Source organism: Homo sapiens, chromosome 1 (genome assembly GCF_000001405.40).
Source record: "Homo sapiens chromosome 1, GRCh38.p14 Primary Assembly".
Lineage (NCBI taxonomy): Eukaryota > Metazoa > Chordata > Mammalia > Primates > Hominidae > Homo > Homo sapiens.
This window is the reverse complement of record NC_000001.11, coordinates 1001059-1026036: the sequence shown is the minus strand read 5'-3', so window position 1 is coordinate 1026036 and position 24978 is coordinate 1001059. Positions and strand designations below refer to the sequence as shown.

General features: G+C 59.9%; 2 protein-coding genes and 1 pseudogene across 6 annotated transcripts in view, besides 15 other annotated features; 1 reads left to right on the top strand and 2 right to left on the bottom strand.

The window, feature by feature from the left end:
- AGRN (agrin) overlaps positions 1 to 5917 on the bottom strand; it is a 35997-nt gene extending 30080 nt beyond the window's left edge. For all 5 annotated transcript variants that reach the window (NM_001305275.2, XM_005244749.4, XM_011541429.3 and 2 more), the window contains exons 1-2: positions 5664 to 5917; positions 3575 to 3836 (exon numbers count right to left, since the gene is read on the bottom strand). In NM_001305275.2, the coding sequence (NP_001292204.1) occupies positions 3575 to 3836; positions 5664 to 5864 (463 nt within the window). In that variant the 5' untranslated portion in view covers positions 5865 to 5917. The remainder of the gene's footprint in view (positions 1 to 3574; positions 3837 to 5663) is intronic.
- Positions 309 to 1284: an enhancer, noted in NCBI's record as "H3K27ac-H3K4me1 hESC enhancer chr1:960133-961108 (GRCh37/hg19 assembly coordinates)". NCBI's record gives its function as "activates a minimal SCP1, AML or CMV promoter by ChIP-STARR-seq in naive and primed H9 embryonic stem cells {active_cell/tissue: H9 hESC(naive and primed)}" and the evidence as "EXISTENCE:reporter gene assay evidence [ECO:0000049][PMID:30033119]".
- Positions 1285 to 2261: an enhancer, noted in NCBI's record as "H3K27ac-H3K4me1 hESC enhancer chr1:959156-960132 (GRCh37/hg19 assembly coordinates)". NCBI's record gives its function as "activates a minimal SCP1, AML or CMV promoter by ChIP-STARR-seq in naive and primed H9 embryonic stem cells {active_cell/tissue: H9 hESC(naive and primed)}" and the evidence as "EXISTENCE:reporter gene assay evidence [ECO:0000049][PMID:30033119]".
- Positions 3446 to 4645: an enhancer, noted in NCBI's record as "P300/CBP strongly-dependent group 1 enhancer chr1:956772-957971 (GRCh37/hg19 assembly coordinates)". NCBI's record gives its function as "activates an origin of replication core promoter dependent on BRD2, BRD4, P300/CBP, MED14 and CDK7 cofactors, with strong dependence on P300/CBP, by STARR-seq in HCT116 cells {active_cell/tissue: HCT116}" and the evidence as "EXISTENCE:reporter gene assay evidence [ECO:0000049][PMID:35650434]".
- Positions 6154 to 6603: a silencer, noted in NCBI's record as "silent region_18". NCBI's record gives its function as "represses an Ori minimal core promoter by ATAC-STARR-seq in GM12878 lymphoblastoid cells {active_cell/tissue: GM12878}" and the evidence as "EXISTENCE:reporter gene assay evidence [ECO:0000049][PMID:35858748]".
- Positions 10281 to 10501: a silencer, noted in NCBI's record as "fragment chr1:950916-951136 (GRCh37/hg19 assembly coordinates)". NCBI's record gives its function as "represses an EF-1alpha promoter that drives an FKBP-Casp9 reporter gene in an ReSE screen in K562 erythroleukemia cells {active_cell/tissue: K562}" and the evidence as "EXISTENCE:reporter gene assay evidence [ECO:0000049][PMID:32094911]".
- Positions 10787 to 11678: an enhancer, noted in NCBI's record as "H3K27ac-H3K4me1 hESC enhancer chr1:949739-950630 (GRCh37/hg19 assembly coordinates)". NCBI's record gives its function as "activates a minimal SCP1, AML or CMV promoter by ChIP-STARR-seq in primed H9 embryonic stem cells {active_cell/tissue: H9 hESC(primed)}" and the evidence as "EXISTENCE:reporter gene assay evidence [ECO:0000049][PMID:30033119]".
- Positions 10928 to 10977: an enhancer, noted in NCBI's record as "active region_10". NCBI's record gives its function as "activates an Ori minimal core promoter by ATAC-STARR-seq in GM12878 lymphoblastoid cells {active_cell/tissue: GM12878}" and the evidence as "EXISTENCE:reporter gene assay evidence [ECO:0000049][PMID:35858748]".
- Positions 11428 to 11487: an enhancer, noted in NCBI's record as "active region_9". NCBI's record gives its function as "activates an Ori minimal core promoter by ATAC-STARR-seq in GM12878 lymphoblastoid cells {active_cell/tissue: GM12878}" and the evidence as "EXISTENCE:reporter gene assay evidence [ECO:0000049][PMID:35858748]".
- On the bottom strand, positions 11497 to 12540 carry ISG15 (ISG15 ubiquitin like modifier). The gene is made up of 2 exons (NM_005101.4): positions 12461 to 12540; positions 11497 to 12053 (listed from the first exon to the last, which is right to left on the bottom strand). The coding sequence occupies exons 1-2, from the start codon at positions 12461 to 12463 to the stop codon at positions 11559 to 11561; spliced, it is 498 nt and encodes a 165-aa protein (NP_005092.1). The 5' UTR covers positions 12464 to 12540; the 3' UTR covers positions 11497 to 11558.
- Positions 11648 to 12057: an enhancer, noted in NCBI's record as "active region_8". NCBI's record gives its function as "activates an Ori minimal core promoter by ATAC-STARR-seq in GM12878 lymphoblastoid cells {active_cell/tissue: GM12878}" and the evidence as "EXISTENCE:reporter gene assay evidence [ECO:0000049][PMID:35858748]".
- Positions 11648 to 12877: a biological region, named in NCBI's record as "H3K27ac-H3K4me1 hESC enhancer GRCh37_chr1:948847-949738".
- Positions 11679 to 12570: an enhancer, noted in NCBI's record as "H3K27ac-H3K4me1 hESC enhancer chr1:948847-949738 (GRCh37/hg19 assembly coordinates)". NCBI's record gives its function as "activates a minimal SCP1, AML or CMV promoter by ChIP-STARR-seq in naive and primed H9 embryonic stem cells {active_cell/tissue: H9 hESC(naive and primed)}" and the evidence as "EXISTENCE:reporter gene assay evidence [ECO:0000049][PMID:30033119]".
- Positions 12458 to 12877: an enhancer, noted in NCBI's record as "active region_7". NCBI's record gives its function as "activates an Ori minimal core promoter by ATAC-STARR-seq in GM12878 lymphoblastoid cells {active_cell/tissue: GM12878}" and the evidence as "EXISTENCE:reporter gene assay evidence [ECO:0000049][PMID:35858748]".
- Positions 17747 to 17977, top strand: RPL39P12 (ribosomal protein L39 pseudogene 12; annotated as a pseudogene).
- Positions 18924 to 19909: an enhancer, noted in NCBI's record as "H3K27ac-H3K4me1 hESC enhancer chr1:941508-942493 (GRCh37/hg19 assembly coordinates)". NCBI's record gives its function as "activates a minimal SCP1, AML or CMV promoter by ChIP-STARR-seq in primed H9 embryonic stem cells {active_cell/tissue: H9 hESC(primed)}" and the evidence as "EXISTENCE:reporter gene assay evidence [ECO:0000049][PMID:30033119]".
- Positions 23758 to 23897: an enhancer, noted in NCBI's record as "active region_6". NCBI's record gives its function as "activates an Ori minimal core promoter by ATAC-STARR-seq in GM12878 lymphoblastoid cells {active_cell/tissue: GM12878}" and the evidence as "EXISTENCE:reporter gene assay evidence [ECO:0000049][PMID:35858748]".
- Positions 23948 to 24297: a silencer, noted in NCBI's record as "silent region_17". NCBI's record gives its function as "represses an Ori minimal core promoter by ATAC-STARR-seq in GM12878 lymphoblastoid cells {active_cell/tissue: GM12878}" and the evidence as "EXISTENCE:reporter gene assay evidence [ECO:0000049][PMID:35858748]".

Below are 24978 nucleotides of genomic sequence, written 5' to 3'. Positions count from 1 at the left end.
ACCCCTCCCACCACCTCACTCCCTTTGGTTTCAGCCAGCAAAGCCCCCCCCCAGGCCAAGGCAGGGGCAAGCCCAGGAGAAGTCAAAGACGGGACAAGTCCATTCACGCAGGCGGGAAGCACCGAGCCCCGACTTCCCACCAGGAGCCCCGGGGTTGGGATGGACAGAGGTGGGCCCTTCACCCGGCAGACCCCCCTCCCAGCTCCAGGAGAAACAGAGGTGGGGCCCCAACTTCCTACCAGGAGCCCCTGGGTGGGGAGACACAGAGGTGAGTGGGGAGGGACAGAGGTAGGCCCTCCGCCCTCCCACCCGGCAGACCCCCTCCCAGCTGCAGGAGGGAGATTGGGGCAGCAGCCTCGAGCCCAGACCTGCCTGGGGGAGGGCCAGAGAGGGGCTCATGGGGTGGGGGTGGGGGAACCAGGGGGCAGGATGAGAACCTGGAGTCAGGAGGGGGCAGGAGAGGGTGGCAGGAATGCGGAGGAGTTGGGGGCAGGAGCTGAGCCCTGGGCAGGAGAGGGGGCTGGCCCCAGCCCTATGGGAGGTCCTCCTGCATCCCAGAAACCTCCCCCAACTCCTAGACTGCCCCACACTGAGGGGAGCCTGGTCTGGGGCTGTCGGGCCCCTCAACCCCAGCACCGATGCTGTCCCCGGTGCCGTGGGACTCTGGGCTTCCCCTAGGACTGCCGTCCTGAGGCCTAGGCAGCTGGCCAGGCAGGGAGGAAGGGAGGGTGCACACGCCGGAATACAGGCGGGCCCGGGACTAGGCCGCCGGGACCCCGGGCTTCAGAGCTGGGCAGGGCCGGGCTGGGAAGGCGCCAGACTCACTCTGACCCTGGCCCCCTGCCCTGTCCCTGTGCCAGGCCCCGGCAGGGGCAGACAACACTCCCTTTCTCTGCTCCTGGCTCCTAGCAGGGAGGGATGGGCCCCGGGCGGCCTGGCCGGCCCTCAGCCAGGAGTCCCTCCTGGGGGCTTCAGGGAGGCTCTAGGACCAGCCTTTGTGAGGTGGGCTGGGAGGGCATGGGCAGTGCCCAGACAGGACAGGGTGGCGAGGGCCGGAGGAGTCGCCCGCTCAGCCGCCAGCCCTGGGCAGCTGGCACTGCGGAGGCCAGGCCACTTCCCTGACAAAGCAGGGGCGGGGGTCTCCTTCCGGAGGGAGCAGCGGGCCTCCCCCGCCCAAAGGTGGCGCAGAGGGAGGGACACATACCTGTCTTAGTTATGCCAGGAATGTGGCTCCCTAGGCAGAGAAGGGGGGAGGAGCCTTTCTGAGGGTTGTTGACTGGGGGAGGGGCCTTGGCTGGGCAGGGCCAGGAAGATCTGGCAGGGCCAGGTGAGAAACTGAGGAAAGGAAGTCCTCAGTAGAGCTGAGTCCAGGTGTGGCCCAGCAGCAGGTGCACCTCAGGCGGTGTCCGGGCAGGGGTGGTGAGGGGCGTGGCCCTCCCCGACCTGGGGAGCTCGGAGGGGCCTTTGTCTCCAGGATGGGGTTCCCATACAAGGTGGGACCCTGTGGTCTCAGGGGTAGCTTCTGAAGACTAGGGGCTGCCCAGACGCCATCCTGTGCCCTGGGAGGTGGGGTCGGAGTCAGATGGGGAGAGGTCAGCTAGGCTCAAGCTCCCTCCATCCATCCCCCTCACTAGGGTGAGGCCTTGGCTACCAGAGGGCCCAGGGTGGGGTTCAATGTCCTTATCTCCTACAGAGCAGGAGATGGACCCACCTCCCACACCACCCAGTGTGAGGGGAGGGGTGGGCACACAGAATTGTCCCTTCTCCAGCCAGACTGGCTCCAGAGACCTTGTCCCTCAGGGCTCACCCCAGGCTTCTGGGAGGCATTTACCCTGTCCCGGCAGCCAGGGACCCCAGCCACCCGAGATATCCCTGGTCTACTTCCACAGCAGAGCTCCACATGTCCCACCGGAAGCTCCTGGGCTCCCCCACTCCTCATGCTGTTTCCCTCCTGAGGCTCCCCTTGGCCCCTGGCTCACCTGCAAGGCCCCTCCCATGACAGTCCTCCCTGGCTAACCCTCCCCTGGCCAGCCCCACCCCAGGGGGTCCGGTGGCCACAGCCCCTCCCGGGTGCTCCCCAAGCTGCATACTGGCTGTGGGTCCCAGGCTCCCCACCTGGAGCTCGTCCCTGAGTGCGACTGCCCACAGCTGGGCTAAGCCACACCCACCTGGCAGGGGCTCCCCACGGACCCTCCTCCCAGCGCTCTGCTCCGCCTGGGCACTCGCTCCAGAGCCAGTGCCTGGCACCCGTAGAGCGGCTTCGGTAAGATGCAGAGCCTCGTTCAGCCGGGGTGACTCTCCTGCCATGTGCCCTCTGACCCTAGAGCAAGTCCTCAGCTACTAAGTCACGGACTCTCGGGCTGGACCCACCTGGCTGTGGGGTTAGTGACCCCCTCTCCTGATCTTGCAGGGACAGGAACCTCTCCTCGCCCTAACCCCCTTCTCCAGCCCCTCCTCAGCTCCTGACAGCCTATCCTGAGTCCACGATGCCCCCATCTTTTCCCCAGACCATGAGTGCCCAGAAGAGGACCAAGGTTATCATGTCCTCCCAGTGGGGGACCCAGGGGACCCTCCTCTGTGCTGCACTGAGGCCCTGGACCCTGAAGGCAGCTTGGGGACCACTGACCACAGGCTGGGGAAAAGGCCGCAGCGTTCCTTATTTTGGGTGCTGCCCCTCCCCCTGCATAGCCCCCAGGCATGCACAGAGAAGGCAAGAGCAGTGGACAGTCCAGGACCCCACAAGGACCCCTCAAGAGCCAGGCTAGTGTCAGGGCAGCAAAGTTTCCTGCCGGCCAACGGAGCAGATCGGAGAGACGGGAAGTCAGGACCCTTACCGTTGCCTTGAGGAGGAAGCACTCTCCAGACCCCCCCACCGACACATCCCTTCCCAGGCAGCCATGAGGGAGCAGACAGGATGTGGGGGCGACAGGGACCTCCTATATTTTCCCTGCCACATTCCCCAGCCAACGATCTCAGTCCCCAACTGGGACTTGTCCTGCGGGGGCTGCCATGGGATTTCTGCCCCCACCAGGCTGGGGTCAGGGAGGGCCACTCCTCGGCCCTTCGGCAGAGCCATGGGAACAGCAAGCAAGACCTCACGATGGCAAATGCCACACCCTCCACATCCGCAGAAGCCCTCGCCGCACAGCCTCGCCCTCCCGCCCGATCTCCACGGCGAGGAGTGCTCGACACGCGGGCCCGTCTAGACGGAGGTCTGGGCTAACACAGGGGCTTGAACAGCTGGGGACATTCACCTGTCCAGCTTCTCCCTAGAAGGGGCCTCCAGAAGGAAGTATGGAGAGCTGGGAGGAGGGGAGGAGGCAGGAGGCCATCTGTTTGCAGGGCTGGGACTTGCCTTGGGCCCCAGGGCCAAAGATGTCTAATGTGAGGGCTTGGAGATGCAGCTGGGGAGCCAGGGACGGAGAAGCAGAGAATGAGGTTGGACCACAAGACACCGTGTGCTGCAGCCTCCGGCACAGCACGAAAGGACCCCGCACAGCGACCCCTGCAACCTGTCCCCCTTGGCCACTGCCCTGACCCCCACAGGCCCCCACACGAGCCCCCCACCACGCACCTTCCACACAGAACTCCACCTCCTCCAGGTTCCGCAGGGTGATCCGCATGAGGCTGGAGTTGAGCATCAGCTCGTTCTTGTGGGCTGGCCACAGGTATGGGGGTGCAGGGTTCACAAAGAAGATCCTGGTGTCCCCAGTGGACACCTGGTTGTCACAGATGAGGGGGTCTCCAAAGCCGCTGATCACCACCTTGTTGCCGCCGTCCAGCAGGCTCTCCCGGGCCACCAGGTCTTTGCCCTTCAAGTACCGCCAGACCCGAACCTGGGGTGGACATGGCGGTAGGTGTCATTAGTCCTCTCCTGGGGAAGGGGCTAGACTGGGGGCTTTAGGTGTTTAGGGCAAATGTCCACAGTAGACTCAAGCCCTGGGCAGAGATGTGGGGAGACCTCTGAGTCAGCCCGCTGGGCGGAAGCTGGGGGAAGCCCACACTGGCCACCACAGCCCATGCGGGAACGCTCAGAGATGCGTCACCTGTGAACACATCCCCTCCCCCAGGTCTAACCAACTTCAGCCACCCCAGCTCCAATAACGTCCCTATCAGCTAAGGCCGAATTTGGGAAGGGGGCCCACCTGGCTTGGGGTGCCTGCCTTCCACACTTCTCCCCACCTGCCCAGTGCTCAGGGCCCACCTCCCAGCAAGCTTGGGCAGTGGAGGAGGGGGATGGGGCGTTGGGGTAAGGGGCCAGCTTGGCCCTGTGGCTGGGCTGAGACGCCCCTTCCTCGGGCTTCTACAGTCTGTGCACTCAGGGCAGCCTGTGAACCACGAAATCAAGTTTGGGCAGTGCAGGGTGCCCCACCCTCCACCTTCTCAGCTCCTGGGGCCCTGAGGGCAGCTGCTCTGACGGTGGCCTGTGGTAAAGGCTACAGCCGACCTGGCGGCCCTCACGGGGACAGGGACCCACGCACTCACGCACTCCCCTGAGAACAAAGCCGGGAGAAGCAGCCCCTTCCTCAGATCTGGGGGGCTGGGGCTGCCGGATGGGGGGAGAGACAATGGTTGGCCTGTCCACTGCGCAGCCCCTGCTGGGAGCCTCAGGACTGCGGCATCCGCAGGGACCCCCTCCAGTTGCGCAGGCAGAGCCTCTTCCACGCCCCCCAACAGTAGGCTCCAGGAGGCAGATGACCCAGGCAGGGGGAGGGCCTGGTGGCTTTCATCGCCTTCCCCCACCCCAGCCACACCCAGGAGCAGCGGGGAGGAAGTCGGGAAAATCCTGCAGGGGCCTGGCAAAGTGCCCTGGCCGCTGTGGAGGAGACTGGGCCGGCGGGGGAGCCCAGCTGTAGCCCGCACCGGCCAGTCTGAAAGAAGCTGCCACCTTCTCCACCTCCGTGGAGGGAAATGAGTGGATTTCTGGTCCCAGGAGATGGTTTTGGGGGTACACGGGCGCCGGCTCTGGGTCCCCCGAGCCCCTACTAGGAGAAGATGGTGGGGGTCCCAGCGTACCTACCCCGGGGGCTCCCAGAAGCACCTGAAGGAGAAACCAGGGAAACTTCCCCTCCCCGGGGTGGGGAGCCCCGGTTCCCGCAGGAGCGCGATGGGGCACCGGCCCTGCCCCCAAGCACACGAGGCCCGGTGACGGCCCCGCCCACCTCTCTGCTCCTGCACGCCCCCCCCCCGCACCACTGCGGCACCCCCCACCTGGCTCCCGGGGTTGGGAGCTCAGGCTGTGCGCCCCTTTTTCTCTCCTGACCAACCCCTCTCGCCCCGGGAAAGGCCTCTGGGGAGGGGAACAAGCGGATCCCAGGCCCAGCCCCCGCTCCCCGCCCGGGCAAAGGCCCCCCCTCCCCAGGCCCCTCTCCTTCTCGGCCGGTAGGGAGGGCGCGCGGCAGCCGCAGTCCGTGGGCGAGGTGCACTTGTCTCCGCGAGGAGGGAGGCGGCGGCGGGCGGAGGACGGCGGCGGCGCAGCAACTTTCCCCGGCGCCCGCGAGTTTCCCGGGACCCGGCGACCCCCCCTCCCGGGGCTTGGCGGTCGCCAAGGGAGCCGGAGCGGGGGCTGCGGAGCGACCGGGGCTGGTTCCCACGGCCTGGGGCGGGGGTCCCGGCGGGGCGGCAGGCGTCGCGAGGGGAGGCCGGGGTCCGGGTGGGCGCACCTTGCAGGAGTACGTGTGCTGCACCGGGTCCACGTTGAGGATCTCCTCCACCGTCCCGGTGAGCACCACGTTCGCCTCCTCCTCGCGCCGCTCCAGCGCGCGCTCCGGGCATGTCCCGCCGGCTCCGGGCAGGACGCACGCGGCCACCACAAGGAGCGGCAGCAGCGGCCGCAGCGGGCCCGGGTGGGACCGGCCGGCCATGGCGCAGGCGAGAGGCGGCGGAGGAGCGCGCGGGCCGCGCCGGGGACGGGACTGGACAGGACGGGACGCAGCTCCGGAGGCGGCGGAGCGCGGGCGGGCGGGCGGGGGGGGGCGGGGCCAGGGCGGCGCCCCTCCCCCTCTCTCCTCCCCGCCCCCCTACCCCCTCCCCGCGCCCTCCTCCTCCCCCTCCTCCTTCCTTCCCCCTCCCGCCCCCTCCCTCCTCCCTCCCCCGGCCCGCCCGGAGGCCGGCGACCCGCGCCGCCGCGAACAAAGCCCCGGGACGCAGCGCCCGGCGCGGCCGTGGGGCGGGAAAGGGGCGGCCCGGGAGGGGGCGGGGAGAGGAGAGTGGGGGGCGGGTCTGGATCCCGCAGGCGCCCCTCCCCCGCCGCGGCCCCCCGGAAGTGCGGCTGCACCCGAGTTAATGCCTAATCTGGAGGAGACGTGACGGGACTGCCGAGGGGCTCCGGGCGGCGCGGAGCCGGGCGGCAGGGCTCGAAGGCCGCCGGGAGGGGCCCCAGACCCGGCCCCGATCCCGCTCCGCAGGCCGCGCCCCTCCCCCGCGGGGCCGGACACCGAGGCTCGGCCGGGCCGGACCCCCCGGGAGCTGCGGCGCGGAGGCGGGTCCCGGTGCCGGGGCGGGCGCTGATTGGCCAGCACGGGGCGCGGCCCCGCCCCTCCCGGCCCCGCCCCCCCAGGCCCCGCCGCGGGGAGGTTCGCGCCCCCTTCCGTCCCGCGGCTGCAAGCGCGGGTCCCGCCACGCCCCTTCCCAGCTCTGGGCCGGGCGCCTCTGCAGCTTGGCCTGGCTGGGTGCAGGGGGAAACTGAGGGCTGGAGGACCCAAGTGGGAGCCTGGCCTAGCTGAAGATTGAAAGGAGGGAGCGGAGGCCCCCTTTGTCCCTTCAGAACTGTGTCTAGGCTGGGCGTGGTGACTCACGCCTGTCATCCCAGCACTCTGGGAGGCGGAGGCAGCAAGATCTCTTGACACCGGGTGTTCGAGACTAGCCTGGGCAAAATAGCAAGACCCCATCTCTCAAAAAAATTAAAAATTAGCTGGATGGGCCGGGCGCAGTGGCTCACGCCTGTAATCCCAGCACTTTGGGAGGCTGAGGCAGGTGGATCACGGGAGGTCAGGAGTTCGAGACCAGCCTGGCCAACATGGTGAAACCCCGTCTCTACTAAAAATACAAAAATTGGCCGGTGTGGTGGCAGGCGCCTGTAGTCCTAGCTACTTGGGAGGCTGAGGCAGGAGAATCGCTTGAACCCAGGAGGCGGAGGTTGCAGTGAGCTGAGATGGTGCTGAGAGGTGACAGCGTGCTGGCAGTCCTCACAGCCCTCTCTCGGTCTTCACGCCTCCTCTGCCTGGGCTCCCACTTTGGTGGCACTTGAGGAGCCCTTCAGCCCACCGCTGCACTGTGGGAGCCCCTTTCTGGGCTGGCCAAGGCGGGAGCCGGCTCCCTCAGCTTGCAGGGAGGTGTGGAGGGAGAGGCATGAGCGGGAACCGGGGCTGCGCGCGGCTCTTGCGGGCCAGCTGGAGTTCCGAGTGGGCGTGGGCTTGGTGGGCCCCGCACTTGGAGCAGCCGGCCGGCCCTGCCGGCCCGGAGCAATGAGGGGCTTAGCACCCGGGCCAGCGGCTGCGGAGGGTGTAGTGGGTCCCCCAGCAGTGCCAGCCCACTGGCGCTGCACTCGATTACTCGCCAGGCCTTAGCTGCCTTCCGGCGGGGCAGAGCTGGGGACCTGCAGCCCACCATGCCTGAGCCTCCCACCCCCTCCGTGGGCTCCTGTGCGGCCCAAGCCTCCCCGATGAGCGCTGCCCCCTGCTCCACCGTGCCTAGTCCCATGACCACCCAAGGGCTGAGGAGTGCGGGTGCACAGCGCAGGACTGGCAGGCAGCTCCACTTGCAGCCCCAGTGCGGGATCCACTGGGTGAAGCCAGCTGGGCTCCTGAGTGGTGGAGACGTGGAGAACCTTTATGTCTAGCTCAGGGATTGTAAATACACCAATCAGCACCCTGTGTCTAGCTCAGAGTCTGTGAATGCACCAATAGACAGACACTCTGTATCTAGCTACTCTGGTGGGGCCTTGGAGAACCTTTATGTCTAGCTCAGGGATTGTAAATACACCAATCGGCACTCTGTATCTAGCTCAAGGTTTGTAAATACACCAATCAGCACCCTGTGTCTAGCTCAGGGTTTGTGAATGCGCCAGTGGACACTCTGTATCTAGCTACTCTGGTGAGACCTTGGAGAACATTTATGTCTAGCTCAGGGATTGTAAATACACCAATCGGCACTCTGTATCTAGCTCAAGGTTTGTAAATACACCAATCAGCGCCCTGTGTCTAGCTCAGGGTTTGTGAATGTGCCAGTGGACTCTGTATCTAGCTACTCTGGTGGGGCCTTGGAGAACCTTTGTGTGGATACTCTGTATCTAACTAATCTGGTGGGGACGTGGAGAACCTTTGTGTCTAGCTCAGGGATTGTAAATGCACCAATCAGCGCCCTGTCAAAACAGACCACTAGGCTCTACCCATCAGCAGGATGTGGGTGGGGCCAGATAAGAGAATAAAAGCAGGCTGCCGGTGCTAGCAGTGGCAACCCGGTCAGGTCCCCTTCCACACAGTGGAGGCTTTGTTCTTTCGCTCTTTGCAATAAATCTTGCTACTGCTCACTTTTTGGGTTCACACTGCTTTTATGAGCTGTAACACTCACCGCCAAGGTCTGCAGCTTCACTCCTGAAACCAGCGAGACCACGAGCCCACCGGGAGGAACAAAAAATCCAGACGCGCTGCCTTAAGAGCTGTAACACTCGCCGCCAAGGTCTGCAGCTTCACTCCTGAGCCAGCGAGACCACGAACCCACCAGAAGGAAGAAACTCCGAACATATCCGAACATCAGAAGGAACGAACTGAAGACGCGCCGACTTAAGAGCTGTAACACTCACCGCGAGGGTCCGTGGCTTCATTCTTGAAGTCAGTGAGACCAAGAACCCACCAATTCTGGACACAGTGCAACTGCACTCCAGCCTGGGTGACAGAGCGAGACTGTTTCAAAAAAAAAAAATTAGTCGACGGGCCGGGCGTGGTGGCTCAGGCCTGTAATCCCAGCACTTTGGGAGGCCGAGGTGGGCGGATCACTTGAGGTCAGTAGTTCGAGACCAGCCTGGCCAACATGGTGAAACTCTGTCTCTACTATAAATACAGACAGGGCACGGTAACTCACGCTTGTGATCCCAGCACTTTGGGCAGCCAAGGGGGGAGTGGATCACAAGGTCAGGAGTTCGGGACCAGCCTGACCAACATGGTGAAACTGCCTCTACTAAAAAATTAGCCGGGTGACACGCACCTGTAATCCCAGCCAGTCAGGAGGCTGAGGCAGGAGAATCGCTTGAACTCAGGAGGTGGAGCTTGCAGTGAGCCGAGATCACACCACTGCACTCCAGCCTGGGCGACAGAGCGAAACTCCATCTCAAAGAAACACAAAACAAAACAAATACAAAATTAGCCAGGTGTGGTGACACGCACCTGTAATCCCAGCTCCTCGGGAGGCTGAGGCGGGAGGATCACTTGAGTGTGGGAGGTGGAGGCTGCGGTGAGCGGTGATTGTGCCACTGCACTCCAGCCTAGCTGAGAGTATGACCCTGGGAAAAGTAAGTAATTTTTTTAAAAAAAGGACTGGGTCAGTCAGGCCCAGTGGTTCACACCTGTAATCCCAGCATTTTGGGAGCCCGAGGCAGGCGGACCACTTGAGGCCAGGAGTTCAAGACCAGCCTGGCCAACATGATGAAACCCCATCTCTACTAAAAATACAAAAATTAGGCCGGGTGCGGGGGCTCACACTTGTAACCCTAGCACTTTGGAAGGCTGAAGCGGGCGGATCATGAGGTCAGGAATTCGAGACTAGCCTGGCCAATACAGTGAAACGCTGTCTCTACTAAAAACACAAAAAAAAGTTAGCTGGGTGAGGTGGCGGGCACCATTAATCCCAACTACTTGGGAGGCTGAGGCAGGAGAATTGCTTGAACCCGGGAGGTGGAGGTTGCAGTGAACCGAGATGGCGCCACTGCACTCCAGCCTGAGCGACAGAGTGAGACTCTATCTCAAAAAAAAAAAAAAAAGCACGGGTGCGGTGGCTCACGCCTGTAATCCCAGCACTTTGGGAGGCCGAGATGGGCGGATCACGAGGTCAGGAGATCGAGACCATCCTGGCTAACACGGTGAAACCCCGCCTCTACTGAAAATACAAAAAAAAATTAGCCGGGCGTGGTGGCGGGCGCCTGTAGTCCCAGCTACTCGGGAGGCTGAGGCAGGAGAATGGCGTGAACCCGGGAGGTGGAGCTTGCAGTGAGCAGAGATCGCGCCACTGCACTCCAGCCTGGGCGACAAAGCGAGACTCCGTGTCAAAAAAAATAATAATAAAAAGGACTGGGCCTGTGGTGCCCCTCTCACCCCAGGCTAGCTACAGATCTCTGAGCCAGAAGCCACAAAGGAGGCCCTGCCCTGCCCTGCCCCCGTTGGGGGTTCAGGAAAGGCCCCTGGCTAAGTGCTTCACTCGCCCATTGTGACACAGGGGTGAGGTGGGGACCCGGACACAAGGCTGGAGCCAGGACACCCCCTGCTGGGCACATGCGGGCACACACAGTGGTCCTGGTGCAGCCAGATGGGGGTCTCCCCACCTGGATATGGACCCCCACAGACCAGGGGGGACTCTGTGTCTCCAGCCGGATCCTCCCGAGGGCTCTGAAAGCTGAGGCCCAAGTGCCCAGAGTCCGGACTCTGCATGTCCCTCTGTGCCCCGTCCTCGCTGCATCCCAGCCGACATCCGTGCCCCGTCCTCCCTGCTTCCCGGCCAACAGCTGGCTTCTAGGAGACTCATTTAGCAAATTGGAATAGGAGAGACAGAGAAGGGTGCATGGGTGGGGGAAGGGGTGTAGCTTGTAGCTTGTACTGAATTGGGGGCCCCCCACCTGGGACAAGCTCTGCTTCCTGGACGGTGTCAGCCCCAACTCCAGGTGCCCTCCACTGCTGGCCACGGCCCCTCCTTCACGCACAGCCTTGAGGGGGTGTACTTAGCCACCCAGGCTGTCTTCTGCAGCTGGCCCCAGTGGTGATGTGAGTGCTCAGGACCTGTCTCTACCCCTCCCTAGCCCAGCCCAGGCAGGTGGAGCAGGCTGTGTAGGCTGGGCTAGGGACGGCTGAGGTCCCCAGCCCCCAGTTCCTATGGAGAGCCTGCCTCACAGCCCACCGGGCAGGCCCCAAGGACTCACCCCTTACTGCTCCCAGGGGCCCACTGGGAGCCTCCCCTTTTGATCTGATCAGGCGGGTCCCTGCCTAAGCCGTCTGCTGTCCCAGATGGAGGACAGGCAGGATGGGCTCCAGCAACTGTGTCTCTTTTTCTTTTCCTAGAAGTTAATTTCCCAAAGGGTGGGGAGAGCTGTCTTACTTCAGTTTCGGGGTGGGGGGCTCCCTATTTTGATCCCTCGAAGCTGTAACTGCAAACCCTTATCCCTTCACTTGGCAGCCCAGGCCTGGTCACCAGGATGGACCCTGGGTTCTCCCTCCTGACTTCTCCCGCCCCATCACCAGGGGTCTGAGGCGGACGCTGGAGGAGGGGCAAGCACAGACACAGAGGCGGCCATTTCTCTTTACAACAGCCTTTATTTCCGGCCCTTGATCCTGCTCGGATGCTGGTGGAGGCCCTTAGCTCCGCCCGCCAGGCTCTGTGCCGCCTCCCCGCAGGCGCAGATTCATGAACACGGTGCTCAGGGGCTTGAGGCCGTACTCCCCCAGCGGGAGCTGGTCCTCCAGGGGCTTCCCCTCGAAGGTCAGCCAGAACAGGTCGTCCTGCACACCCTCCAGCCCGCTCACTTGCTGCTTCAGGTGGGCCACGGTCTGCGTCAGCCGTACCTCGTAGGTGCTGCTGCGGCCCTTGTTATTCCTCACCAGGATGCTCAGAGGTTCGTCGCATTTGTCCACCACCAGCAGGACCGTGCTGCCGGGGCCCAGGCCCTGGCTGGCAAGGGGGACCCTGTCCTGCAGCGCCACACCGCTCGGGTGGACAGCCAGACGCTGCTGGAAGGCGTGCACGCCGATCTTCTGGGTGATCTGCGCCTTCAGCTCTGACACCGACATGGAGCTGCTCAGGGACACCTGGAATTCGTTGCCCGCCAGCATCTTCACCGTCAGGTCCCAGCCCTGCAGGCGTCACACAGGTTCAGAGACTGCGGCGCCAGCCCCAGGCCCACCACACACAAGGCACTGGCTGCAGGGCGAGCTCCTGTACCCAGGGACAGTGCTCCCTCCTGTCTGTCCTCTACATCCCGCCGGCAGGGACCCCAGGCACAGAAGGCACTGAGGGCTCGTTACTAGAAGGCCAGCTGCCCACCGCCATCCCGTGGCCTCCCTTTACCTGCTAGGGTGCCCCTCTGTGCCCCACCCTGAGGATCTCAGGGGTGACCTGCTTTCAGGAGCACACTTAGAACCTGGCCAAGCTCTGAGCAGCTCCGCTCTCCCTGCACCCCTGGGAGACCTTGGCTGGGGGAGGGAGACGAAAATTGGCTGGCACAGAGCCCACCTCCCCCCACCTGTGACATCTGCCTTACCATGGCTGTGGGCTGTGGGCTGTGGGCCACGGCACAAGCTCCTGTACTGGCAAAGATGAGTTCGCTGCCTCTCAGCCGCCGGCTTCGGCAGGCAGCACCGGCCCTATTATAAGCCTGAGGCACACACGTCAGGGGGCGTGCCGCCGAGCCTGCGCTGGTGGCCAAATTTGGCTTCAGTTTCGGTTTCCCTTTCCCGAGGCATGCCCCAGAGTGAGCGGAAGAAACAAAACCGAATGACCGAAAGACAGGGAAAAGCAAAAGTGGCGGGGACTCCGGACAGCGGACGGCATCCCCACCCCCACCCAACACCCTGGAAACACCTAAATATCGCGCATTCCAGATCCTTCACAGGATGCACTAAAGCTGTCATCACATGGACTAATGGTTTCATTTTCCATTTACCAACTTGCAAAATTAGTAAACTTGGAAAACATCCCCATGGTTAATTGAGAAACAAGAACTCCAAACTACCCAGAGATAACAACACTCGGTTTAGGGCAGTATTTGCTCAGATTGGTGTTTTTTTGTTGTTGTTTTTGTGTTTTTGAGACAGGGTCTCTCACTCTGTCGCCCAGGCTGGAGTGCAGAGGCACGATCTCATCTCATTGCAACCTCCGCCTGCCAGGCTAAAGCGATCCTCTCACCTCAGCCTCCCACGTAGCTGGGACCACAGGGGTGCACCACCAGGCCCGGCTAATTTTTTGTATTTTTAGTAGAGATGGGGGTCTCGCCATGTCGCCCAGGCTGATCTCGAACTCCTGGGCTCAAGTGATCCACCTGCCTCGGCCTCTGAAACTGCTGGGATTACAGGCGTGAGCCACTGCACCCGGAGCCTCAGATTGTTTTTTAATAAAAGAGACCTATCTTTTATTTTCTACAAAAATGAACTCTGGGACACTATTGAGAAAGTGAAAAGACAATCCATAGAATGGGAAGAAATATTTGCAAATTATCTATCTGATGAGGGCATAGCATCCAGGACATATAGAGAACTCTTACAACTCAATAAAAAATAAAAATAAAAAAAAAAGGCAACTCAATTTTCAAATGGCCAAAAGACTTCAATAGACATTTCTCCAATGACATAGAAACGGCTGTAAAGTGATGTTCAACATCATTATTAATTGGGGAAATGCAAATCAAAACCCCAGTGAGATGCTATTTCCTGCTGGTATGACTGTAATAATAAAAATAAAGGCCAGGCCGGGTGCGGTGGCTCACGCCTGCAATCCCAACACTTTGGGAGGCTGAGGCGGGCGGATCACCTAAGGTCAGGAGTTTGAGACCAGCCTGGCCAACATTTTTAGTAGAAACCCCATCTCTACTAAAAATACAAAAATTAGCTGGGCGTGGTGGTGCACGCCTGTAATCCCAGCTACTTGGGAGGCTGAGGCGGGAGAATCCCTTGAACCCAGGAGGCAGAGATTGTGGTGAGCCAAGATTGCACCAATGCACTCCAGCCTGGGCAGCAGAGCAAGACAGTCTCAAAAAATAATATAAAATAAACATAAAGGCAGTAACAAGCACTGGGGAATACATAGAGGAACTGGAATCCTGGTACATGCATTGCTGTTGAGAATGTAAAACAGTGCGGCCGCCGCGATGCTCAAAACGTTCAACAGAATTATTGGGAACCCAGCAGTTCCACTTCTAGGCATGTGTCCAAAAGAATTGAAAATAGGTGTTCAAATACTTGCATACAAATGTCCATGGCAGCACAGTTTACAATAAACAAGTAGCAGGAACGGAGCACATGTCCATCAGTGATGGATGGACACACAAAGTGTGGAATGTCCACACAACGGAATATTATGCAGCCATGAAAAGGACTGAGGCACTGATTCATGTGAAAGAACCTTGAAAACGTTATGCTAAGTGGAAAGAGCCAGACACGAAGGCCGCAGAGTGTTGGTTCCATTCACCGCAGGGGAAACGACCGGAACTGGTAGAGCCGCAGCACAGGAAGCCGACCCCGTTACCGGGGGCCAGGGAGGGGGAGTGGGGGGTGATTGCTTCAGAGCCACAAGCCCCTTTGGGGGTGACAATGTTTCAGAACTCCACAGAGGTGATGGTTGGACAACGTGGTAAATAACTAAACGCCACTGGATTTCATTCTTTAAAATGGTTAGTTTTATGTTATATGAATTTCACATCAATAAAAAGCAAAGGTGAAAAGGCCTCACCATACTTTCACTGTTTTGTAACCTGCTTCATTCATGCAACAGTGTATCATAAACATCTATCCAGGCCAGGCGGCTCATGCCTGTAATGCCGGCATTTCGGGAGGCTGAGGCGGGAGGATCATTTGAGATCAGGAGTTCGAGACCAGCCTGACCTACATGGCGAAACCCCATCTCTACTAAAAATACAACAACAACAAAAAAGGCCAGGTACAGGGGCTCACGCCTGTAATCCCAGCACTTTGGGAGGCCGAGGCAGGCAGATCACCTGAGGTCAGGAGTTCAAGACCAGCCTGGCCAATATGGTGAAACTCCGTCCCTACTAAAAATGCGAAAAATTAGCTGGGCATGGGCCGGGCGCAGTGGCTCACCTGTAATCCCAGCACTTTGAGAGACCGAGGCGGGTAGATCACCTGAGGTCAGCAGTTTGAGACCAGCCTGGCCAACATGGTGAAACCCCATCTCTACTAAAAATACAAAAATTAGCTGGGCGTGGTGGTGGGCACCTGTAATCCCAGATACTTGGGAGGCTGAGGCAGGAGAATCACTTGAGCCTGGGAGGCGGAGGCTGCAGTGAGCCGAGATCGCTTCACTGCACTCCAGCCTGGGTGAGAGAGCGAGACCCTGTCTCAAAAAAAAAAAAAAAAAACCCAAAAAACAAAAACACGCATCTATCCGTGTTGGTGGACGCATCTGTGCAGGTTGTTTTAACAACTGCATGTTTCCCATGGAAGAATGAGCCTGTTACAGTACAGAGTTAATTTAGTTAAAACCCATCCCACATCACTGAATACTTAGGCTGTTCCCAAATTGTTGTTGTTACACACAGCACATAACAAGAGAAGGATAGCTAAGACTCAGTAATAAACAAATAAATAAAATATTTAAATAAGATTCAAATAAATAAATAAATAATTTTTAAATAAACAAGTGTAAGAGTGAAAAATCAACATATTCTGAATATGAATCCTGGCCCTTCCCCGTCTCCCAGCAAATCTCAGGGGTCACCAAAATTGTCAGCATCTGAAAACCAAAGAGGAGGCGGGGTGGCGGCTCACGCCTGTGATCCCAGCGCTTTGGGAGGACGAGGCGGGCAAATCACTTGAGGTCAGGAGTTCAAGACCAGCCTAGCCAACATGGTGAAACCCCATCTCTACTAAAAATGCAAAAATTAGCTGGGTGTGGTGGCTCACACCTGTAGTCCCAGCTACTCGAGAGGCTGAGGCAGGAGAATTGCTTGAGCCCTGGAGGTGGAGGTTGCAGTGAGCTGAGATCGCGCCACTGCCCTCCAGCCTGGGCGACGAGAACAAGACCCTGTCTCAAACAAACAAACACCACAGTCCCAGGACTTTGGGAGGCCGAGGCAGGCAGATGGCTTGAGCCCAGGAGTTTGAGACCAGCCTGGGCAACATGGTGAAACCCTGTCCCTGCAATACATAAAAAAATTGGCCGGGCGTGGTGGCGCACACCTGTAGTCCTGGCTACTTTGGAGGCTGAGGTGGGAGGATAGCTTGAACCCGGGAGGTGGAGGCTGCAGTGAGCTGTGATCGCACCACTGCACTCCAGCCTGGGTGACAGAGCGAGACCCTGTCTCAAAACCAAACCAAACCCAAGCAAAACAAACAAAAAACCCAGGATTTTCTATTTATTTTTATCATTTTAGATGCCCTGTTAAACATGGTATATGTTTCCTGATTTCTTTTCTTTTTTTTTTTTTTGAGACGGAGTCTTGCTGTCGCCCAGGCTGGAGTGCAGTGGTGCCATCTCAGCTCACTGCAAGCTCCGCCTCCAGGGCTCAAGCAATTCTCCTGCCTCAGCCTCCCGAGCAGCTGGGACTACAGGCGCCCACCACCACGCTTGGCTAATTTTTTGTATTTTTAGTAGAGACGGGGTTTCACCGTGTTACCCAGGATGGTCTCGATCTCCTGACCTCGTGATCCGCCCACCTCATCCTCCCAAAGTGCTGAGATTACAGGCGTGAGCCACCGCGCCCGGCCCGTTTCCTGATTTCTTAATGCTGACGTACGGTGCTAGAATCTTCCTTTCCTTTTGGTTACTTCATCCCATCTCTGCCAGTTGTCTTCCTGCTTCGACAGAACCAACCCCAGGCACAGGCACCGAGGAAGGTGACCAGACCTGCAGTCACTTGCTTTAGTTTCCTGGGGTTGCTGAACAATGTACCACAAACTGGGTGTTAAACTTCACACCACAGAAATGTATTCTCTCGTAGTTCTCCAGGCCAAAAGCCCAAAATTCATGTGGACTAAATGACCAAGATTGTCAGATGGTGGCTCACATCTGTAATTTCAGCACTTTGGAAGCAAAGCCTAGAGGATCGCTTGAGCCTGGGAGTTTGAGACCAGCCTGGGCAACATAGTGAGACCCCACCTCTAAAAAAAAAAATAGCCGGGCGTGGTGGTGGGCGCCTGCAGTCCCAGCTACTCGGGAGGCTGAGGCACGAGAATGGCTTGAACCCGGGAGGCGGAGGATGCAGTGAGCCGAGATTGCGACACTGCACTCCAGCCTGGGCGACAGAGCAAGACCGTGTCTCAAAAATAAAAATGAAACAAAACGCCGGGCGCGGTGGCTCACACCTGTAATCCCAGCACTTTGGGAGGCCAAGGCGGGTGAATCGCCTGAGGTCAGGAGTTCAAGACCAGCCTGGCCAACACAGTGAAACCCCGTCTCTACTAAAAAGGCAAAATGAGTACGGCGTGGTGGTGGGCACCTGTAGTCCCAGCTACTTGGGAGGCTGAGGCAGGAGAATTGCTTGAACCTGGGAGGCGGAGGTTGCAGTGAGCCGAGATCGTGCCATTGCACTCCAGCCTGGGGGACAAGAACGAAACTCCGTCTCAAAAAAAGAAAGAAAGAAACAAACAAACAAAACAAACAACTGGCTCTGTGTGGCTTCCAGAGACAAGAATCATCTGAAACATAAAGACACAGCAAGTTTGAACATCAAGCAATGGAAAGAAGCATACCACACAAATATTAAGTAAAAGGAAGCAGGTGTGGATATATTAACAAAGTCATTAACATACTAACAAAGATCATGGAAGAAAGCATAATAGACACAGGAGGTCCCATAACGATAAAAGCTTGAGCCCCCTCCCTTACCTTCCCTTCTCCGCTGTCGCCATCATCTGTGCTGGACCCCGATTCTCGCCGTGTCTTCTCACCAGACTTTCAGAATTAAGCGATTCCTGGCCAAGAAACAAAAGCAAAATCGTCCCATTCCCCAGTGGATTCAGATGAAAACTGGTAATAAAATCAGGTACAACTCCCAAAGGAGACACTGGAGAACAGCCAAGCTGGGTCTGTAAGAATTGCACAGGAGCCGGGCGCGGTGGCTCACGCCTGTAATCCCAGCACTTTGGGAGGCCGAGGCGGGCGGATCACGAGGTCAGGAGATCGAGACCATCCCAGCTAAAACGGTGAAACCCCGTCTCTACTAAAAATACAAAAAATTAGCCGGGCGTAGTGGCGGGCGCCTGTAGTCCCAGCTACTTGGGAGGCTGAGGCAGGAGAATGGCGTGAACCCGGGAGGCGGAGCTTGCAGTGAGCCGAGATCCCGCCACTGCACTCCAGCCTGGGCGACAGAGCGAGACTCCGTCTCAAAAAAAAAAAAAAAAAAAAAAAAAAAAAAAAAAGAATTGCACAGGAGATGGCACACGTATTTATGCTGAAGGTCATACCTGAAGCTCACAATCACGTTACCACATCAAGCTGGAAATGTCACCACGATCTGGAGAGTTGAACGTGTTTTACTGGGAATAAACTTTTTCTTTTTTCTTTTCTTTTTCTTTTTGAGACAGAGTTTGCTCTTGTTGCCCAGGCTAGAGTGCAGTGGCATGATCTTGGCTCACCATAACCTTTACCTCCCGGGTTCAAGCGATTCTCCTGCCTCAGCCTCCCGAGTAGCTGGGATTACAGACGCCCACCACCACACCCAGCTAATCTTTGTATTTTTAGTAGAGACGGGGTTTCACCATGTTGGCCAGGCTGGTCTCCAACTCCTGACCTCAGGTGATCCACCCACCCCGGCCTCCCAAAGGGCTGGGATGGCAGGTGTGAGCCGCCGCGCCTGGCGATAAACCGAAATGTTTTATTCCGTGTGCGTTTGAATTTAGAATCTTGAGGCGCAGCTGCTAAAACACCCCCGAGTGTAAGAACTCTGAGTCTGATTTTCTACAACTTGAATTAGGGGAGCTTGACACACACACGTGCATCTATTTAATGTGTAATTTAATGAGCTCTGATGTAGGCACCTGGCAACCCGTCAAACACGGGTCTTCGTGCTTCGTCGCGTCTCTACACGTCTCTACGTGATCCTCGCCCGTGGAGGATCATGCCAAAGCTTCCTGCCTTCCCGCAGAGCCAGGGTGATCTCAGGTGGGTGAGCCCCGTCGGGGTCCGAGGCCCGGGCCAGGTGCAGGGCTGACTTGGCGCCCTGGACTCTCAGGGAGGCTTGAGCCTTGCTCGGGATGGCTGTTGCAGGGGTCTGGCCTCATCCATCTGGAGGAGTCTACCAGCCTGCAGCCCACTCCCTCGCTCTCATTCAAATCCAGACCCTTCCCCGCCTTCCCATCTGGCCAGTCACCACTCCTCAGCCGCCGCCCTGGATGGCACCTGAGTGACTCATGGCTCCTGATGACACGTGGACTTTGGTTAGAGCTCAAAGGTCACTCCGATGACACGGCTGGGCCTCTGCCTGTCCCACAGGACAGGATGGGCTGGGAAACCCCACAGGGGCACCATGGCGCTCTGAGAAAGTCACACCGAGCCTGTGATTCCCTGTGGCCACCGGATGATGACCCGGAAACGTGTCACTGGAGACCCTGGGTTGGCCGCCTTTCCTAAGAAACATGGATTGTTGACGTCCGAGGCTGGGCTGATTACACAGGCAGCCCCTCCCCTCCAGATCCCATGGGGAGGAGCCTCACCCTGTCTCTCCACCTGGGACCAGGAAGGCCGAGCTGCCACCATCTGACCTGGGCCACAGTCTCGCACTGCTGGATCCCATCTTACCGGGCCGGAGCCTCCCCACCCACTCGGCAGGCATGTCACCCCCCAGCTGCAGCCCCCTGTAAGGGCTTCCTGGGACAGCAGGACCTGAGACAGGGCGGAGGGTCCCACTCCACACAGTGGACCCAGTGGGCCACTTAGAGTTGCCTGGTGTCTGGTGGGCTTGGCCCCTGGGGAGGGCATCTGCAGGTTAGAAGCATGCCACTGGCTGCGTCAGGGAGGATAGAGTGGAGGGGCAGGCCCATGAGCAGGGAGGGCTGCCGTTCCAGCCAGGGGGAGGCACCCAGCTGGGGAGGGGTTGGGGGTACGTGGAGCCTGGTGCGCTGGACAAGAGGGACCCTCTTAGACCTAAAGGACCTGGCAGGGGACGCGGGAGCTGCACACCTTTGGGGAGCAGGGGGCCCAGAAGCCCCGAGCCGGACACCTGACCCCACACGGCCACGGACAGGGCCCCCGCGCTGGGCCACGCATGCCCCTCCGCCTGGGGCAGTCACCGGGTGCGAGGTCGACCCACGGCCGGCTTCAGAAAACTCCGACCCACTGGAGACCCAGGCCCAGCTGTCCTGGGGGCACTGCTGCGGGGGGAACTGCTGCGGGGGCACTGCTGCGGGGGCTAGGGCTTGACCATACCAGGCTCCCTAAAGTCCCTGCCACTAAATGACACTTTCATCCCAGCCTTCCCAGGGCCAGCAGGGCAGATAAACCCAGGGGGCTCATCAGGCAGCCCTGCCCCTGCGAGGGGAGGGCAGAGGCAGGCGGTGGAGGGGAGGAGGGGTCAGTGTGTGCTTCGACTCCTCTGGAATCTGGCTGCTGTGACTTGCTTTGGCCGATGGAGTGTGGTGGAGATTTTACTATGTGCGTTCTGGATCCTGGCCTCAAGAGTCCCTAGGCTTCCACTTCGCCCTCCTGGAACGCTGGCCATGTGTTAGGAGGAAGCTGACTGAGAGTGGGTAGGACTCCAGGCTGCACGGCTCTGGCAGAGAGCCCGGCAGCTGAGGGACAGCAGCCCCAGGTGTCCAGCATGGCTACCCTTGGGCCCTTCCCACCCAGCTGACCTTGGCCCAGGGCCGCAGGCTGTGAGAGGCCCCAGGAAGCCACTGGCACTGCCCTGATCCCCACTACGGAAAGAATAGGCAGGTGGTGCTTAAGCCACCAAGAAGGTAGGGATTCCACACGGGCTGTGGTCTGCCCACATGAACAGGAAGGAGGGAGGGTGAGGGGCAGACACAATGGCCGGCCAGATAGGCTTCTCTTGATAAGGAGAGAACAGACAGGGGAGGAGGAAGCCGCAGATGCAGGCTGTGCATCTGCCCGAGATCTCAGGGCTGGCGGACAGCAGAGGCGGGAGCTGGGAGGGGGGCAGAGAGAGTGGAGAGGCTGGACCGTGGAGGGGTGCAGTTGGGAGAAAGGACCCAGTGGGGTAAGTGGGGAGGGGACAGGACCCCTGAAAGAGAGGAAGTCAAAGTTGGAGAATTGCTGGTGTGGATTTTGAAGGCATGGCCGGGAGAGTGACAGGGAGCAGGTGTCCCCTCCTGCAGGAAAGGGGTGCCGATGACTTCAACACAGTGAGGTCTGGTCACAAAGCGGGGGTGGTTTTGGTGGAAAAGGAAAGCAGTCTGGGAGTGCCAGTGAGGAGGGACAAGGGCACCCACCTCGTCCTGGTACAGCAGAGAGAAAAGCAGCGCCTGCCGGGAGCAGGAACAGGCTGGGAGGGCATCCCAGACAGGCAGGGTGGGGAGACTCCAGTACCATCCTGCTTGGAGACACAGCTCCCACCGCTGCTGAGAAGGCATGCAGGTGGGGTGGCAGTGGCACCAGCCTGGTGCTGCTGCTTCTGCCTGAGTCCTGGTCTCTCTCTGGCAGCCTGGATTCCTGCAGCCCTGGCCTTCTGTCACTACAATCCCAGCAAACACCCAGGAACAGCTCTGCGCCCACCTCGGCTCTCCGGGAGAGAAACCCACCCCCACCCCAGCCTTGGTTCCTCGGTGGCTTTGGCCCCAGCTGCCTGAGTGCACAGCCCGCTGCCCTGGGCAGGAGTTGGGGACCATGCTGAGGACCACCTGCAGGGGGTGGCTACAGGTCTCTGATGTCAGGAGTCAGTGTGTGAGGGGGGTGTTGAGGGCCGTGGCGAGATGGCAGCCGCCACCTCTGGGTCAGAGGTTGGGAGGGGAGGTCACAGCCAGCACCTCACAGGCCTTTTGGGGACACTGGCTGTGGTCATGGAGTGCGGCCACAGTGGCCCAATGTGAGGAGACCCCCCAACAAGGCTGAGGCCCCCCCAGGTCCAGCCTAGAAGACACCCCGGTTTTCCCCACAGTCTCCCCACTGGCGTGTGAATGTCCTCATCAGTCACCCCCCTTAGCTAACAGGGGGCTGTGCAGATGCCCCGGGGCCACCCGCCATTTGGAGCTTGACCCACTCAGGGCCAGGAGGTCGGCTGGATTTCAGTGGCTCCCAAGAAGCACCCGTTAGATGGGGGGGAGGGGTGGGGAAGTCGCTGAGCCTCTGCCTCTGTGGAAGAGAGGAAGGGATCAGCGAGGAGGGAGCAGGGGTGAGGAGGGAAGGGTCACTCTCCCTGGGTCAGGGCCCCAGCCCACCTCCACTATTCCAGTCTTGAGTGCCGCACCACAAACCACCCCAAAACAGCACGCTCAGCAACCACCCTACTGTGTGCGGGCAGCCTTGGAACGGGGCGCGCTGGGACCTGCGCCGGAAGCTGCTCAGGAGTCTGGAATCCAATGCTGATTCCTCCACGGGGCCTCTCCTTGAGGCCAGGGCGTGCTCCCTCCCAGCACGGCAGCTGGGTTCCAAGAGCGACTGTCCCAGGACAGCGAGGTACGCATGGCGTCTTCCAAGTCAGCCTCAGAAGTCATGTCCTGCCAAACACCCCATTCTTCCCAGCTGAGACTGTCACAGAGTCTCATGTAGAAGGCATTTCAAGATATGGGGATGGGAGATACTATCACGGCCGTCTCTGAAAAACGCAACCTGCCCCCAACCCAGGTGTCGGCACCATCCTGGGCTGCAGCCCAGGATCCACCCCCACACTCAGAGCAAGGGAACCCCAAGGCCCTCAGGAACCCTGAGGCCCCTACCACAAATCGAGGCCAGATTCGAGAGGCAGGGAGGGGACCATCAGAGGCCAAGGGCACAGACCCAGAGAGACAGACACACAGATGGGAGCTGTCCTGTGGCAAAGAAGGTGGGAGGAACACAGTCCCCGGAGATCCTGGAGTGGGCTCCCTGGCAGGGGGCAGGGAGCAGGGGGGTCTCTTCCTCTCCAGAAGAGCAGAGGCAAGTGCTGGTGGCCCCTCCTGCCTCTGCTCAGCAAGGACCCCAGCTGCTGCCCAGGGGCAGGAACCCTGGCAGATGGGCGTGGGTGCTCACTATGAGTTGGACGCCGTCAGTGGCTTTAAAAGTAGAATCTCCTGGCCAGGCACGGTGGCTCACACCTGTAATCCCAGCACTTTGGGAGGCTGAGGTGCGTGGATCACCTGAGGTGGGGAGTTTGAGACCAGCCTGACCAACATGGAGAAACTACATCTCTACTAAAAATACAAAAATTAGCCAGGTGTGGCGGCACACGCCTGTAATCCCAGCTACTCCAGAGGCTGAGGCAGGAGAATCGCTTGAATACAGGAAGCAGAGGTTGTGGTGAGCCCAGATCGTGCCACTGCACTCCAGCCTGAGCGACAAGAGTGAAACTCCGTCTCAAAAAAGAAAAAAAAAAAGTAGAATCTCCTATTAAGACCAGCCTGGCCAACACAGTGAAACCCCATCTCTACTAAAAATACAAAACACTAGCCGGGCGTGGTGGTACATGCTTGTAATCCCAGCTACTTGGGAGGCTGAGGCAGGAGAATCGCTTGAACCCGGGAGGCAAAGGTTGTGGTGCCACTGCACTCCAGCCTGGGCAACAGAGCGAGACGCTGCCTCAAAAAAAAAAAAAAAAAAAAGTTAGCTCCCTTTTACAGATGAGAAAACAGGTACAAGGAGGGGAAGTGAGCCCATCTAAAAACCAGTGAGGGAATGATCAGTCCCAGCCACGCTTGGCAGGGAGGAGACTCACGCCTGTAGTCCCAGCACGTTGGGAGGCCGAGGCAGGAGCATCGTCTCGGGCCAGGAGTTCGAGACCAGCCTGGGCAACATAGGGAGATCCCCATCTCTACAAAAAAAAAATAAATAAAAACGATCCTCAGGCTCCTCCTTCCATCCCGAACTCCCTGCCTGTCTAGGGACTGGGGGAGGCCCAGAGCCCCCCCAAATTTCTTCCCAAGCCGGGGCCCAGGGGCTGGGGAGATTCAGGCCGGCAGCTCCCCTGGGATGACCCCCAGCAGGAGGCGGCGGCGACTGCGGCCACTGGGGGCGCTCGCGGGCTTTCCCGCCCGGGCCCAGCGCTCAGGCCGGGGAGGGACGCGGGACGGGGACACCATCCACACCACCTCCTGGGCTACGGGGCCGGTCCGAGCCTCTCCAGCGCCGAGGCGCGCGCAGAGAGGTCGGGGCAGGAGAGCCGGGGCTTAAGTGCTCGCGGGGCCACCTCCGAGACGCCCGCCCAGCCCCCGCGGCTTTCCCCAGTCGGCGAGGGGCGCGGACAGCCTCTCGGCGGAGAGGGCGCCACCCCCGCTCCGGCCTCGCAGCCCCCCGCGCCCCTGTGCAAGCGGCGGGGTGTGGGGGGCGCCTCAGGGGCACCGCGGAGGGCCGGGGTCAGCGCCGCGAAGAGGGCGCCTTCCCGCGTGGGCCGCAGGACTTTGCTTGGGGCCAGATTAGACGTGGGGTCCGAGGGGAGGGGAAGCTTCCGCACAGAAACCCTGGGTCCAGGTGCCCGGGCAGGGGCGAACCTGCCAATCAGCCGACTCCCTGGCTCAGAAAAGCTCCCCAAAAAGTTCCCCGACTCCCTCCCCGACCAGAAGCTCCCGGTTCTCGCTGGCCCAGCTCCCCCTCCCCACCTCCCTCGTCCCTGCGCCCCCTTCGCACCCTGGGAATGCCACGCCCTCCCTTGAGGCTTCCCCCCTGAGGACCCCCCACCCCGCAGAAGCCTTTGGGACCACCCGGCGTCAAGAAGGCTTTTGTCCACCCAGGCCACCCACCTAATTCGGTTCTCTTACGTGACTGCTGAGTCTGCCATCTGCCTCCTGCCCGGATTGAAAGCCCGGGAGGGTCTCCACACCCGGGCCCAGGCCAGGCTCTCCAGGGGGCTCAGGAAGCCTCCGCTGCACGGACGCGTGAGGCCGCCGGGGACCCCGAGTGCGGAAAGGACCAACGTGCCCCGCAGCGGCATTCGAAATAAAAACAGCAAACACGAAAATAACC